The sequence below is a fragment of the Homo sapiens genome, chromosome 20, assembly GCF_000001405.40.
Source record: "Homo sapiens chromosome 20, GRCh38.p14 Primary Assembly".
NCBI classification, from domain to species: Eukaryota; Metazoa; Chordata; class Mammalia; order Primates; family Hominidae; genus Homo; species Homo sapiens.
The window spans coordinates 19,432,643-19,445,789 of record NC_000020.11 but is presented as its reverse complement, the minus strand read 5'-3'; the positions used below and the strand labels follow the sequence as shown (position 1 = coordinate 19,445,789).

The 13,147-nt window shown below is 41.1% G+C and overlaps 1 protein-coding gene across 1 annotated transcript in view, besides 2 other annotated features; it reads right to left on the bottom strand.

Moving 5' to 3' along the window:
* SLC24A3 (solute carrier family 24 member 3) overlaps window positions 1-13,147 on the bottom strand; it is a 510,285-nt gene that overhangs the window by 277,137 nt on the left and 220,001 nt on the right. The window lies entirely within an intron of this gene.
* Window positions 11,579-11,638: an enhancer, noted in NCBI's record as "active region_17600". NCBI's record gives its function as "activates an Ori minimal core promoter by ATAC-STARR-seq in GM12878 lymphoblastoid cells {active_cell/tissue: GM12878}" and the evidence as "EXISTENCE:reporter gene assay evidence [ECO:0000049][PMID:35858748]".
* Window positions 11,799-11,858: an enhancer, noted in NCBI's record as "active region_17599". NCBI's record gives its function as "activates an Ori minimal core promoter by ATAC-STARR-seq in GM12878 lymphoblastoid cells {active_cell/tissue: GM12878}" and the evidence as "EXISTENCE:reporter gene assay evidence [ECO:0000049][PMID:35858748]".

The window sequence follows — 13,147 nt, the reverse complement described above, 5'->3', positions numbered from 1 at the left end:
TGTCTGATTTCTGCATGTGAGGACCTATACCTCCCCTCTCAAGGGCACTTCCTGGCTGTCAGAGCTGACTTTGTCTATGTCCATAAATACCAGGGGTTCAATGCACCTGTTGTCTGCTCTTAACTAATGGCTGATGGGTGTTGCGGATGAATATCCCACTTCCCCATGTGTGCTCTACGCTGCCTCCCAGAGTTTCAAGACGGATTAAGCTCCAGTTGTCCAAAGTGATAACTTTCTTGATAATGTACTTTTTCTCAGAGTTCTTCCCTTCCTCGTCTTACATTCCAATTCCCTGTTCTGCACTGCCAAATAAACTATTTGCCTTAAATAACTGACCCTGAGTCTGCTTCTAAGAAACTTCAAACTAAGACAGATGCATTGTGCATAAATACAAATCCATGCATTCTGGCCCAGATATCTATGAATTCTGCTGCTACTATCTTTTATTATACTGCTATCCTTTCCAGCTTCCTGAGGTCCACATTGTTGATGTAGGAGTAATTAAGGTTGTAACCCAAATCAGTAGAAGTAATTGGGTTGAAAAGAACACACTAACTTCAAGCCAGTGGTTATATTTAGAAATAAGGGGTGAGGAATGATGCAGACTAATGATGGTGGAAGCCAAGATCCATATTATGTGTAACGCTGTACTGGATTTTACTATAAAGAGATGAAGCAGATATAAGGTCATGAAAAAGGTCAGTTCTGGTTGGTGGTTATACAGAGTGTGTTATCTTTGTATTTTTAAAACTTTCTCAAATAAAATAAAAATAAAAGTTAAATGTATCAAAACGTGTGAGACACAGAAAATAGTGCTTACAGTGAATGCACGTATCAGAAAAAAAGAGATCCAAAATCAATAACCTAAGCATCTACTTTAGGAAAGTAAAAACAACAACAACAACAACAACAACAACAAAAAGCCGATTAGATCCAAAGTAAGCAGAAGAAAAAAAATAAAAATTAGAGCAGAAATCAATGAAACTAAAAAGGTTAAAAAAATAGATAAAATCAGCAAAACAAAAAGATAGTTCTTTTAAAAGGACAATAAAATTGATCAAGCCAGGTAAAAAGAAAAATAAAAGAAGACACAAATTACTAACATCAGAAATGAAAGTGGGACCATCACTACTTATTGCATTGACATTGAAAGGTTAATAAAGGACTATTATGACAACCTATACCCAGAAATTTGATAACCTAGATGATATGGGCCAATTCTTTGAAAGACAAAGTCTACCAAATTCAAATAAGGAGAAATATATAACCTGAATAAGCCTACATCATTAAATAAATTTAATTAGCAATTAATAATTTACTAAAAGAAAACCAGGCCCAGATGAGTTCACTAGTAAATTATACCAAGCCTTTAAGGAAGAAATTACATCAATTCTGTACAATGTCTTCCAGAAGATGAAGCAGCGGGAATACTTCCTAACCCATTCTCTAAGGCCAACATTACTCCAGTACCAAACCAGATAAATTACATGAAAGGAAAACTACAGACTAATATGTCTCATGAACATAGATGCAAAAAAATCCTCAACAAAATATCAGCAAATCAAATCCAATGAGGTATATAAAAATTATACGCCATGACCAGGTGATATTTGTTCTAGTTATGCAAGGTGGGATTGATATTTGAAATCAATTAATGTAATTAATCACATCCATAGGGTAAAGAAGAAAAATCATATAAACTTATCAATAGATGCAGAAAAAGCATTTAACAAAATCTAACACTAATTTATGATTTTAAAAAACTCTCAGGAAACTAAGGATAGAGGGGAACCTGGCAGAAAACACCTATCAAAAGCCTACGGTAACATTAATGGTAAGAAACAAGATACTTTATTAACTCTCAAGCACTCCTGTCTTTCTCCACATTATGGGCTGGGCCTTATCCATGGCTAGAGAAAAGCCTTAAACAAGGAAGAGTGGATGCCAAGGCAATTATGGGTAGAGCACTCCCCAGTTATGGGGAGGGTTTAACAGTAAAAGTAAAGGTGAGAAACCAGGTATTATTCCCCTAAGATCAGCAGGAGTAAGGCAATGATGTTTCCTCTCACTACTCCTATTCAACATCATAATAAAAGTCCTATCCAATGTAATAGGACAAGAAAAATAAATGAAAGGCATGGAGATTGGAGAAGAAGAAATGAAACTGTCCTCTTACAGGTTTCAGAATTGTCTATGTAGAAAATTCCAAAGAATCAACAACAACAACAACAAACTCCTGAAAGTAATTACAGCAAGGTTGTAGGATACAAGGTTAATTTACAAAAGTCAATTGCTTTCCTACTACCAGCAATGAGTGATTGAAATATGAAAGTAAAATCATAATACCATTTATATTAGCACCAAATAACAAAAAATTAAGTATAAATCTAATAAACTATGTATAAGATCTGTATAAAAATATAAAACTCTGATAAAAGAAATAAAAAAGAACTAAAAAAAGGAGAGACATTCCATGTTAATGGATAGCAAGACTCAATATTGTTAGGATATCAGTTTTTCCTGACTTGCTCTATGGGTTCAATGCAATCTAAAATCAATATCATAGCAAGTAATTTTGTGGATATGAACAAGCTGATTCCAGAGTTTATACAGTAAGGCAAAAGACCCAGAAGAGCCAACACACTATTGGAGAAAAATAAGTCAGAGGACTAAAACTACCTGACTTCATCTCTTACAAGGCTATGGTAATCAAGATAATGTGATATTTCTGAAAGCAAAGACAGACTAATGGAACACAATAGAAAGCTTAGAAATAGACCCATGCAAACATAGTCAATTGATCTCTGACAAGGTATCAAAGGCAATGCAATAGAGAAAAGACAGTATTTAATAAATGGTGCTGGGAAAGTTAGATCCATATGCAAAAGAAAATGAACATAGATGCTGACATTACACCTTTCCCAAAAATTAACTCAAAATGGATCATAGACCAAAAGTAAAATGCAAAACTGTAAAACCTCTGGAAGATAACATAAGAGAAAATATAGGTGACCTTGGGTTTGGTGATGATTTTTCAGATGCAACATACAAAATAAAAGAAATAAAAAATAGATAAATTGAACTTCATTAAATTAACTGTTTTGTGAAAGACACTGCTCAGAGAGTGAAAAGACAAGCCACAGACTGGGTGAATATATTTGCAAAACAGATATTTGATAAAGAACTAGTAAGCAATCTACACAAATAATTCTTTAAATTCAACAATACGCAAACAACCCAATTAAAAAGTGAGCAAAAGATCTGAACAGACACTCTGACAAAGAAGATGTACAGATGACAAATGAGCATACGAAAAGATTCCAAATCATATGTCATTAGGAAAATACAAATTAGAAGAACAATGAGATACAACTATGCACCTATTAGAGTGGCCAAAATCCAAAAGACTGACACCACCAAATGCTGGTGAAGATGTGGGGTAACAGAAACTTTTATTCATTACTGGTGGGAATGAAAAATGGTACAGCCATATTGGAAGATAGCTTAGCAGATTATTACAAAACTAGGCATACTTTTACCATATGATTGATCAGGCAATTGTGTTCCTTGATATTTACCTAAATGAGCTGAAAACTTATATCCACACAACAGCCTACACATAAATATTCATAGCAGCCTTATTCTTAATTGCCAAAACTTGGAAGAAACCAAGATGTTCTTCAGTAGGTGAATGAATAAACAAATTGTGGTACATTCAGACAATGGAATATTATTCAGCAATGAAAAGAAATGCGCTATCAAGCCTCAAAATGATATAGAGGAGCTTTAAACACATATTACTAAGTCAAAGAAGCCAATCTGAAAAGCTGCATACTGTATAATGTCAACTATGTGACATTCTGGAAGAAATGTCACATAAAAAAAATCAGTGGTTTTATGATTTTTATCAGAGACAGAAAAAAAATCAGTGGTTTCCAGGGGTCAGTGAGAGGGAGGGATGGATTAGCAGAGCACTGAGGATTTTTAGGGCAATTAAACAATTTTGTAGGATACAGTAATGATGGATACAGGACATTATGCATTTGGCAAACCCCACAGAACTATACACCAAGAATAAACCCTAATATGAACTATAAAGTTGAGTTAATAATAATGCATCATTATTTGTTCATCAATCGTAATAAATGTACCACACTAATATAAGATGTTAACAGGGAAAACGGGGGTAGATGGGTAAGTGATGGGGATATGGGGACTTTTCATACTTTCCACTCACTTTTCTGTAACTCTAAAACTACTCTTAAAAATAAAGTCTATTAACTTAAAGTATCTCAAATAAACATTAAATATATTTCTGTTCCCTGGAGGTCTAAGAAGTGATGATCTGATTAGCAGAGTGGGGACTGTGCATTGAGTCCATGCTAACTGCAGTCCTAACCACACTTCCTTCCTTTGCTTTCAGATGCACAGGGCCCTCACCTAGCAAGTCTGGAGCAGTCTGTGCTAGCCCTGTGTGTGGCTATGAGGTGTCAACCGTCATTACTTCCGGCCCCTAGGTGGGATGCCGGGGTCCAAGAAGATGAGATAACGTAACCAAGGTCACCGAGTTTGTCAGTGTCAGAATGTGAATTAGAAATGGGCTTCCACGGTGCAAGGAAGGGAAGGTCCCATACAGAGGTCAGCCCATCCTTAGCTTGGTGAGACAGCAGGAAGGCTAAAGGCTTCCAGCTTGGTTTCAAAAGCTGCCTCACCCAGGAGTGGGTGCACAATCTTGTCTGAAACATGGCTGCAGGTATGCGATGTGAAATCTCAATGATTACGAACTCTCAGGATCCGGCCTGCTTCCCACTCAGAGAATACATGGCTTTGCTTTTAACCCATCCATCTAAACTCCCCTGTCACTCATATGTGATGAAAAAACAGTCCGTCGGTATCCAAATGCACCCTGAGGCTGCTGTCGGCCCAGTGCTGAGCCCTCACCCAGGGCCCTCCACCCGAGCCCTTAAGTTCATCTTCCATCCATCCCTCCAGATGCCTGGCAGAACCCTGGACACTCTCATCGTTCTTCTTCCTCTGCTGACACACTTCCTTGGAGCTGGACTTACCTCTAGTAGCTGAAATTCTACTAAATTCATTCATTCTACTAAATAAATTCATTCTTAAAAAAAAAAAAAAAAAAAAAACAGTGAGGCCTCTCCTCCAGGAACTGTTTCTAGATTTTTCCAAGTAATGAAATCTCTTCTGGTTTAGAAAAGTAAGGAAATGTTCGTTGTCGGCACCCTCTCTCTCTTACCTCATGGTTTGGAAGCCAGGTATATAGGTCAAAGGTAGTTTGTCCCTTGCTAGGAAACACCGTAGGGGCTGGGGTATTACTTTTCTGCATATCTCTGCAGCATTCAACTTTTAAGGCACTTACTACAGTCAGAGACAAAAGAGATCTCTGGACACTTGTCCCATTCTCTCTCCCCAGCTGTCTTGCCAGCTCCTTCTGAGATTACAGATAGAACCTTCCTACCTGAACACCACAGAGCGCCTAACTTGACAACTAGGTGTTTGACAGATAAGGTGAGTGGATGCACGGTCAGATAGGACTAGCATGATCAAAGTGAAGTACAGGCTGTGGTGCTGCTCTTAAATTTACATTGGATATCTCTGAGCTTCGAAATAAGTTAAATTCACCCAGATAAGAAAATGCAAATTCTAGAACGATGTCTGTTTTCAGTGCTTGAGGATTCTCACATCACTGTGTTTCAGCAAAGACAAATTGTTAAGGTTAACTTTGATTTTGTTTCCCATATTTGAAAAAGTGAAATATAATAAATCCATAGGAATATGTATTTCTTGTATTGAACTAAAACCCCAACATCCCGTCAGAAACCCAGCCACTAACATCCCCCTCCCACCCAAAGCTGGCCACATGCAAAGCCAACAGCTTCCTCAGTTTAAGACCGAATTCAACCTCTCTCTCCCCTTCTTACCCTCAGCAAGAGTTAACAACGTCTACACGGAGAGACCGTGTTATTGCCAAATCAATCACTCGGATCAGCGAGGCATTCCATTATTTTCCATTCAGAGACCTCTGAACTTGCCCACTACACAGATCCAAACCATCAGTTGTTCTGACTTTATACAGACATAATTGATGGATAAATGTAAAGGAAGAAAGCAAGAGATCTGGAAGACTCTTGCTTGGAAGGAAATAAGTTTTGGTTTGTTTTTGGTGAATCAGGCTATTATTAGTAATCATTTTGGTGGGGTGCTAAGAAGTTACTCACATGTGCTAACAAAATTTGTATGGAGTTACATGGGATATAAATCATTCACAAGTGTTTCACAAATATACTTCTGAGACAGGAACAGCCAAATCTATCTGTGGTTTTGTTTTGTTTTTTGGCGAGGAAGGGCAGGCTTATGTCCCAATATATAATTTTTGTTTACATGTGTGTTCATTTTCCACAGAAGAAAAAAATTTTTTAAACCAAGCAAAAATACAAAGACGAAAATTTGGTGCCATGTTCCTACAAAGTTTTGAAAGTAAAGGAACGTTTCTCAAGATGAGGGAGGCCTGATCCCCAGACCTGGGATGGCTGCCCAGCAGCATCCCATGCTCCACTGAATGTGGGTCTGGGGTCACCAACAGGACAGCTGTCACAGAGTGCTAAGGGGGCAGCAGGCTGGTGGAGGGGCAAGGAAGATGTGGCAGTGGAGACAAGCACAGCAGTGGAATGGGAACATCTGTATGGGATGTGGGGTGCCAACCTGGAGGCAATCAGCCTTATTTCCTGGGAGGCCACTCTGCATCCCAGAAAGCCACAGCCAAAGGCTTCTTCCCCCGGGTATGCACTTGTCTCACCATGCGCTTGACTCTGGGCATGATTTACAGTGCCTCAGGCAGTCACAAGTTGAGGACTGGAGAGGGAGGATGCAGAGGTCAAAAGCAGCTTGCTGTCTATATTGCCTACCCTGTGGGGATGCCAGGTGCAGAGGCCAACGAGCAGCTTACTATCTACACTACCTACCCTGTGAGGGTGCCAGGGGCAGAGACCAATGAGTGGCTTAGTGTCTATACTACCTGCCATGTCAGGGTGCCAGGTGCAGAGGCCAATGAGCAGATTGCTGTCCACACTACCTACCCTGTGGGGATGCTGGGTGCAGAGGCCAATGAGTGGCTTGGTGTCTACACTACCTACCATGTGGGAATGCCAGGTGGGGAGGCCAATGAGCAGCTTGTTGTTCACACTGCCTACCATGTAGGGGTGCTAGGTGCAGAGACCAATGAGTTGCTTGGTGTCTACACTACCTACTGTATGGGGGTGTCGGGTGCAGAGGCCAATGAGCAGCTTGCTGTCCACACTACCTACCATGTAGGGATGTCCTGTATAGAGGCCAGCAAGCAGTTTGCTGTCTACACTACCTACCACCCCCTAAGCAGGTGATGGGCCAGGAGCCGGACATTGAAGATCTCTAAGACCATCTTTATATCACTCAGAAATAACGGCTGTACAAATCAGTCCTCCCAGAAGGAAAGGTGCCCTTTTCAAAGTTCAATTTACTGCCCTGAAGTGGTGAAAAGCCCCTTCTTTCTAACTCTGTCAGATGACTTTTGTGTGCTCAAAGACCAGCATTTTCCTTTCACAGCTGAGCGCCTGATGCCCAGACACCAAGGACCCACAAAACTTGATTCACTTCATTTTCTCACTTATCATTTCACATTTTCAAAAACACAGGGGCCCTGGGTTCAAAAACACAGGGGACCTTGAGGAAGTGAGAGTGTTTGGGCACTAATGCCAGAGCCTTTCAGGGAAAGCCATGGTGTTCTCCATCAGCTCACTTGGCAGTTAGACTCATGTGCAGAGTTCTGTTCCGAAAATGCAGCAGGCCCTATAACGACCTCATTAATGTCCCTTCACCAGCTTGTGGCAAAATGGTGGTGGGGAATTTTCTGGAATTATGCTGGGAGAGGGAAGCATGACCAACCACCATGCCCCAAAGAGCAGGGGGAACAGGGTGGAGGAGGATGGAGACAGGATCAGAACGCACTTGAGGAGCACAGGAGCTCCCTGGCACCCCTAGCAGCTGTCTTGAAAACCATCTCCCCTCAGGCACGTGGGTTTGCTATAGAGAACTGCAGGGCAGGGCCAGGCTGTGGAAACCCAGATGCTCACTAGCATTATCCTGTCCTGGCCGTTTGGGTCAATTGGCCTGGATAAGCCTCAGCCTTCTTCCCACCTCCTCATGGGATTCTTGAGGGCATGATGTTGGCCCCAGCACTTCTTGCTCTGTCTTCTCACTTCTACTAATTCTGACTGTATTAGTCCATTTTCACATTGCTATAAGGAAATACGCAGGACTGGGTAATTTATAAAAGAGGTTTCATTGACTCACAGTTCCGCATGGCTGGGGAGGCCTGAGAAAACTACAATCATGGTGGAAGACACCACTTCACAGGGAATCGGGAGAGAGAATGAGTGACAGCAGGGCAAATGCCAGGTGCTTATAAAACCATCAGATCTTGTGAGACTCACTCATTATCATGAGAACAGCATGGGGAAAACTGCCCCCATGATTCAATTACCTCCACCTGGTCCTGCCCTTGACACTTGGGGATTATGGGAATTACAATTCAAAGTGAGACTTGGGTGGGGATACAGAGCCAAACCATATCACCGACTCTCATGTCTTTCCTCTTATGTATCCTCTCTCCCCCCTACATTGACACAGTCCATTTGCTTTTGATGTCCCCACAAGGCCATTTCACTGCTCCTCCAACATTTACTCACCAACATTTACATGTCTCACCATGTTATTCTGTTCACTCATTTATCCGTTCTGTCTTTTGGAACTTGATCTCTCTTTTCGTGGGTACACCTAGCCCCCACTGCCCTTCTAGCTTTCTCATCAATGGGGGCTGCTATCCTCTGATGTGACCCCAATCCCCTGGCTGCAGAAATTGATCAAAAGTGGAGACATGGCCTGTGCTGAACCAAAAATGGTCCCTCAGTTTCTTAGCCATTGTGATTGGTCCAGGGAAGGGCACAGGTGCCAGCTGTAACCAATCAGAGCCCTTCTTTGGGGTTTTCCCAAGTAGAGATGGGGAGAGAGTCCCATTATCCCTAGAAGCTGAGATGTAAAGATTGGGTCCAGGTGTAGTGGTGACCCTGGACCCGGCTGCCTGTGAAAGCAGATACATGAATACACACCAAGAAAAGAGTAAAAGAGAGTAAGACTGATATGATGAGAGAGGCAGCCAGAAGACCTCCTGGGCTCCTTTGCTCTAGTGCTGTCTATCAGCCACAAAGCTCCTGGGAGCATCCAGCCAGAAACTAGGGTTGAGGTGGGGAAGATATCCCCTGGAGAAGCCCCTGAAAGTACTGGGGTCAGTAAATCTACATGAGCATACTGAACCTTTTCAGCAGGTAGAGCAGGAGTTCTTTCTCACATCCATCTGTGAAGTCCAAGAGACATAAATCTGAGCGTCATGCTAAATAAGGCCAAGATCATGAGCTGAAATTCTACTTGGGTCCTTTTACATGGCTTTTTTAAAGGAAGTCAGAGGAGAGTATTCCCAACCGTTGAAAAAGGACGGGTCAATTAGAAGTTCCATTAGTGGCTCAGTGCAACTAGGAAAACATAAGTACTATTATATTAGTATAGGATATGAAAACAGTGATCCTTACCTCAGGGTGTAAGGACTGAATCAACTGACATGTGCCAAGTTCTGGAAACTATCTGACACATGGTAAATACTCAACAACTGTTAGCTATTATTATCTCCACTATTTGCATTTGAACTGAGGAAGATCTTAAACCAGTCTCCTTGCCAAGCACAAGTCAGCACTTGTAGGAAGGACATGCCAGCAGGTCACTTGGTACAGAGAATTTCAGGTGATTAAGCTGCAGACCCAAGAGACAAGAAAATGAATGTCTGCATCATTATATCATTCATTCTTGGAACCAGTTTGGGCATCTACTACAATGTGAGGTGTAGGCAAGTCAGCAGGGCAGACTTTTCTCTGTTCTATGTTTCTCCTATAACCATGAGCTGTTATAGGACTGTTCCAACTGGAAGAGACTTTAAAGATAAGGAAAGCTATCACAGACTCTCACTAGACAGACGAGAAAACTACAGTCACCTTTGGATTCTGAGTCTACAGGTCAGTGCTTGTCAGGGGTGGGCACTCCAGCTGGGTCACTCTTTGCCTGGGGAAAAAGCTCCAAAGGTGACCGTGAGTACTTTAAGCACATACTAATTGCCCTGGGATACCCCTAACTGTCCAGTACTGAACTGTGAGCACATCATCTAGCCAAGTAGATCATTCTGGATTCCTAACATTTTAGTGGGCAGATGAATCTCCTTCCAAAACATTTCTCCTTGAAATTGTACTTAATGCTATGGTATAGACTATAAGTGGTGACAACGAATGTCTTTTTTACTAAAATCCTTTTCTATGTTGTTTGGTGTAGAAATGTAAAACATATACTGAAGATAAGTCTGTAAGATGGCAGGTTCTTGCATGGGCAGTACCACTTAATCATGTCAGTGAAGTGATGGAGTAGGTGCTGTTATGCTCATTTTACAGAGGAGAAAATTCAAGTTCTGGGGAGTTAAGTTTCCCAACTTTCTGCAGCTGGTAATTGGCTCTGCCAGGATTTAAACCTGGCCTTGCCTTACTTGGAAGCCTGTTCTCTCTCCATTGTGCATTGTCTCAAAATAGAGAGGGCAGCATTTGTAAATAATTTTGGCAAAATCCAAAGCTGGAGTAATTGGATCAGTTGATCAACAAGTATCTGTCCAAAGATATGCAGAGCACCTCAAGCTACGGGGAAGACTAAGGAAAGATAGCCTTTTTTGAATTTTTTGAATTTTTTGAAATTTTGAATATCTTGGCTGTTGCCAAGATAACTGTCAATTGTTAAGTGGCTTACAAAAGTAAGAGACAGAATCCCTGTATGATGCCAGCAAGAAGGAAAGAGTTCCTTCCCTTCAGGTTAGCAGTCACCATTCCCCTTACCCTGCACATGTGACTCTCCCTAATTAGGCATTAAATGAGCTCCATTTCTTTCCAGAAAAAAAAAAAAAGCATCCTATCTCTAAGTTCCCATCTGTAAGACTGTAAAATCCCTTTACTTTGTAATTAGCCAAGAACAAATAACCATCCAGAGGCAGCTGTGCTGCCTATTAGAGGGATGTAGAGAAAAAAAGAGAATGGTAGATAGCATGCCTCACTGTAGGTATTATTTGTTTCTTTCTGAGCAAAAATGACAAATTCTCCAAAAGAAAAAAAAATCATTTGTCACCAATGCACCAATGCTAACAGTGCAGACCAGGGTTCTATAAAGTTTTCTGTTTTTTCCAGAATTGAAATGTTCTTCCTGCAGTGTCCACTTTCTTGAGCTGAGGTCACCTGAAGAACGTTTTCTCATTTGTTCCCACCATGTGCTCAGACTCAAGGTGATGCTCCTTTTCTCTCGCACCTTGTTCAGCTGCCTGCTTCTCTCTAGAGAGCTTTCCCAAGCCCTCGCTGCGGAGTGATCAAAAGGGGCTGATGGATGCCAGGTTTAGGAAATTCCATGGGAGAATACAGTTCAGCGGTTCCTTGGTTTTACTGCCCATGAAAATTTCCCATATATGGGGGTTTCTGTGAGCACAAATGTAGTCCTAAATCTTTACTTATCTTGTTCGGTAAACCACTGACATTTCAGCTCAGTGATGTGTATTAATCACGTCTTTCATTTCCTGTATTTCAATGCTCTGATACTGCATCTTGCTGACCCTGAGGGACTGCCCCTCCCAGGGTTAACCAGCTCCTAGAGATAGGGAGCAACATACCCAAGACTGTGCTTTTCAAATACAAACCAATCAATCCAGAGCTCACACCCAACCATCTCCTTTATTAGACTCTCACTCCCCACTTTGGGACCACTATCCACTGTTCAGGTCACCCCAGGGCCAGGTGTCAAAAACCTAGTGAGAAAAGAAAAGAACCTTTATGTGAAGAATGTGAGTCCTTTTAAACCATGGGGCCTAGAGAGACATTAAGATGAGACGGTAATCAGTCCTACTTCCCCTTGGCGCTATGGACTCACCTTTTGAAATTGCTTGCTATTGCTACGCACTATTTTTTCAGTGGCAGTTGTCTCCTAATTTGTTGGTCTTACCATACTTTACATTTTCTATTAATACTTTATATTTTTTCAAAGTGAGAGTCTCTACTGAGTCACTCTTACCAAATTCCAGGGCCTACCACAAGGCAGCAGAAGAATTTTGGTGTCCTCATCCTTATCTTGCTTTTCAAAGAGAAAAACCAACCACTGTGATTTAAAAAGGAAGCAAAACAATCAAAGAGATGCAGATGCAAGTTTAATACTCTGCATCTTGGAGAAAACTTACCTAAGGTGACCTGAGTTTAGTCACTGCCTCATTCAAACAACAAATCTTGGTGCGTTTTCCCTGCGGAACATTCATTAAAACCACTGCATGATTTCTGAGGATCTGGATTTTGTAAGCTCATTAGTTTGTGTAAGAGCTCTCTGTGATTTGACCCAGTTTCAATCCCCAAACTCCAGAAATAAAATATAAATGTTTTATGTACGAGGATTTGGTCATCTATCATTAGTCTATTAATAAGTAACAGGGTGATACTGCCCCACATATAACCTGAAATGCCTTGGATGATACATTGCGGAGAAAGGGCATGTTCCATTAAATCCTGAGTGAGGAGAACTTCCTAGAGAGAGAGCTATTTGCACAAGATAAAATATCTATATCTTAACTGGAACTACCTGAATAATGAAATATAGTCCTTCTAATGTTATTGAACCCATTTATGCCCGAGGTTGCAATTTTTTGAACTTTTGCAATCAGACCTTGGCGATGACCTTGAGCAATAGGATATAAATAACTGTCACATGCTTATGTTCCAATAATGGAACACTAGGCAAAAATAAAAAGCAGACAGTTACAACCACCATCATCCACTGAAAGTTCATCAAAAAAACTTGAAGCATTCACATGAATTTCTACTTTTCACAGTTTACAGCACTAAGTCAGTGTTTTAAGATGCTTCTGTAAACCTGTGCTTAATAATACATCTGGCTATAAAGAGCAAGCAAAGCATTCCCCTTATTAGCTGAGGCAACACAGCTGAGCCAGTCTCCGCAGTGCAATATTACCTGACTCTCACCC